General features: G+C 42.7%; 1 annotated feature.

Annotated features, from left to right (window-relative positions):
* Positions 510-1,010: an enhancer, noted in NCBI's record as "H3K27ac hESC enhancer chr3:109720388-109720888 (GRCh37/hg19 assembly coordinates)". NCBI's record gives its function as "activates a minimal SCP1, AML or CMV promoter by ChIP-STARR-seq in primed H9 embryonic stem cells {active_cell/tissue: H9 hESC(primed)}" and the evidence as "EXISTENCE:reporter gene assay evidence [ECO:0000049][PMID:30033119]".

Raw genomic sequence — 3,427 nt, 5'->3', positions numbered from 1 at the left:
CTGATTTTTTCAAGGAAATCAACTTTTAAGAAAACAAATCCAGGGGGGCATTCCTAGATGGCCAAATAGGAATAGCTCTGGTCTGCAGCTCCCAGCATGATCGACGCAGAAGATGGGTGATTTCTGCATTTCCAACTGAGGTACCTGGTTCTTCTCAATGGGACTGGCTGGACAGTGGATGCAGCCCACAGAGGGTGATCCAAAGCACGGCAGGGCATCGCCTCACCCGGGAAGCGCAAGGGGTCGGGGGATTTCCCTTTCCTAGCCAAGGGAAGCTGTGACAGACTACCTGGAAAAACAGGGCACTCATGCCCTAATACTGTGCTTTTCCCAAGGTCTTAGCAACTGGCAGACAAGGTGATTCTCTCCTGTGCCTGGCTCAGGGGACTCCACACCCATGGAGCCTTGCTCACTGCTAGCACAGCAGTCTAAGATCGATCTGCGAGGTGGCAGCCTGGCTTGGGGAGGGGCATCCGCCATTGCTGAGGCTTGAGTAGGTCAAAAAAGTAGCCGGAAACTCAAACTAGGTGGAGCCCACCACAGCTCAACAAGGCCTACTGCCTCTAGACTCCACCTCTGTGGGCAGGGCATAGCTGAACAAAAGGCAGCAGACAACTTCTGCAGACTTAAAAGACCCTGTCTAACAGATCTGAAGAGGGCAGTAGTTCTCCCAGCACAGCGTTTGAGCTCTGAGAACAGACAGACTGCCTCCTCAAGTGGGTCCCTGGCCCCCATGTAGCCTAAGTGGGAGACATCTCCCAGTAGGGGCCAACAGACACCTCATATAGGCAGCTGCCCCTCTGGGATGAAGCTTCCAGAGGAAGGATCAGGCAGCAATATTTGCTGTTCTGGAGCCTCCGCTGGTGATACCCAGGAAAATAGGGTCTGCAGTGGAACTCCAGCAAACTCCAACAGACCTACAGCTGAGGGACCTTACCATTAGAAGGAAAACTAACAAACAGAAAGGAGTAGCATCAACATCAACAAAAAACCCCATCTGTAGGTTACCAACATCAAAGACCAAAGGTAGATAAAACCACAAAGATGGGGAGAAACTAGAGCAGAAAAGCTGAAAATTCTAAAAATCAGAGCACCTCTCCTCCTCCAAAGGATAGCAGCTCCTCGCCAGCAATGGAACAAAGCTGGATGGAGAATGAGTTTGACGAGTTGACAGAAGTAGGCTTCAGAAGGTCGGTAATAACAAACTTCACCAAGCTAAAGGAGGATGTTCGAACCCATCACAAGGAAGCTAAAAACCTTGAAAAAAGAATAGACCAATGGCTAAGTAGAATAAACAGTATAGAGAAGACCTTAAATGACCTGACGGAGCTGAAAACCACGGCACAAGAACGAGAACTTTGTGACGCACGCACAGGCTTCAATAGCCAATTCAATCAAGTGGAAGAAAGGATAACAGTGATTGAAAACCAAATTAATGAAATAAAGTGAGAAGACAAAGTTAGAGAAAAAAGTAAAAAGAAACGAACAAAGCCTCCAAGAAATATGGAACTATGTGAAAAGACCAAATCTAAGTTTGATTGGTGTACCTGAGAGTGATGGGAAGAATTGAACCAAGTTGGAAAATACTCTTCAAGATATTATGCAGGAGAATTTCCCCAACCTAGCAAGGCAGGCCAACATTCGAATTCGGGAAATACAGAGACCACAAAGATACTCCTTGAGAAGAGCAACCACAAGACACATAATTATCAGATTCACCAATGTTGACATGAAGGAAAAAGTGTTAAGGGCAGCCAGAGAGAAGGTCGAGTTACCCACAAAGGGACTAACAGCGGATCTCTTGGCAGAAACCCTACAAGCCCGAAGAGAGTGGGGGCCAACATTCAACATTCTTAAAGAAAATAATTTTCAACCCAGAGTTTCATATCCAGCCAAACTAAGCTTCATAAGTAAAGGAGAAATAAAATCCTTTACAGACAAGGAAATGCTGAGAGATTTCATCACCACCAGCCCTGCCTTACAAGAGCTCTTGAAGGAAGCACTAAACATGGAAAGAAACAACCAGTACCAGCCACTGCAAAAGCATGCCAAATTGTAAAGACCATCGATGCTATGAAAAAACTGCATCAATTAACAGGCAAAATAACCAGCTAACATCATAATGACAGGATCAAATTCACACATAAAAATATTAACCTTAAATGTAAATGGGCTAAATGCCCCAAATAAAAGACAGACTGGCAAATTGGAAAAAGAGTCAAGACTCATGGGTGTGCTGTATTCAGGAGACCCATCTCACGTGCAGAGACACACATAGGCTCAAAATAAAGGGTTAAAAGAAGATCTACCAGCAAATGGAAAGCAAAAAAAAAAGCAGGGGTTGCAATCCTAGTCTCTGATAAAACAGACTTTAAACCAACAAAGATCAAAAGAGACAAAGAAGGCCATTACATAATGTAAAGGGATCAAGTCAACAAGAAGAGCTAACTATCCTAAATACATATGCATCCAAAACAGGAGCACCCAGATTCATAAAGCAAGTTCTGAGAGACCTAAGAAAGAGACTTAGACTCCCACACAATAATAATGGGAGAGTTTAACACCACACTGTCAATATTAGACAGATCAGCAAGACAGAAGGTTAACAAGAATATCCAGGACCTGAACTCAGCTCTCCCACAAGCAGACCTAATAGACACCTACACAACTCTCCACCCCATATCAACAGAATATACATTCTTCTCAGCACCACATCACATTTATTCAAAATTGACGACATAATTGGAAGTAAAGCACTCCTCAGCAAATGTAAAAGAACAGAAATCACAACAAACTGTCTCTCAGACCACAGTGCAATCAAATTAGAACCTAGGATTAAGAAACTCACTCAAAACCACACAACTACATGGAAACTGAACAACTTGCTCCTGAATGACTACTGGGTAAACAACAAAATAAAGATGTTCTTTGAAACCAATGAGAACAAAGACACAACATACGAGAATCTCTGGGACACATTTTAAAGCAGTGTGTAGAGGGAAATTTATAGCACTAAATGACCACAAGAGAAAGCAGAAAAGAGCTAAAATCAACACACTAACATCACAATTAAAAGAACTAGAGAAGCAAGAGCAAACAAATTCAAAAGCTAGCAGAAGGCAAGAAATAACTAAGATCAGAGCAGAACTGAAAGAGATAGAGACACGAAAAACCCTCCAACCAATCCATGAATTCAGGAGCTGGTTTTTTGAAAAGATCAACAAAACTGATAGACTGCTAGCAAGACTAATAAAGAAGAAAAGAGAGACGAATCAAATAGATGCAGTAAAAAATGATAACGGAGATATCACCACTGATCCCACAGAAATACAAACTACCATCAAAGAATACTATAAACACCTCTATACAAATAAACTAGAAAATCTAGAAGAAATGGACAAATTCCTGGACACATACACCCTCCCAA

This window comes from Homo sapiens, chromosome 3 (assembly GCF_000001405.40).
Source record: "Homo sapiens chromosome 3, GRCh38.p14 Primary Assembly".
Classification (NCBI taxonomy): Eukaryota; Metazoa; Chordata; class Mammalia; order Primates; family Hominidae; genus Homo; species Homo sapiens.
The sequence above is the reverse complement of the archived record's forward strand: the minus strand, read 5'-3'. Positions and strand labels throughout refer to the sequence as shown.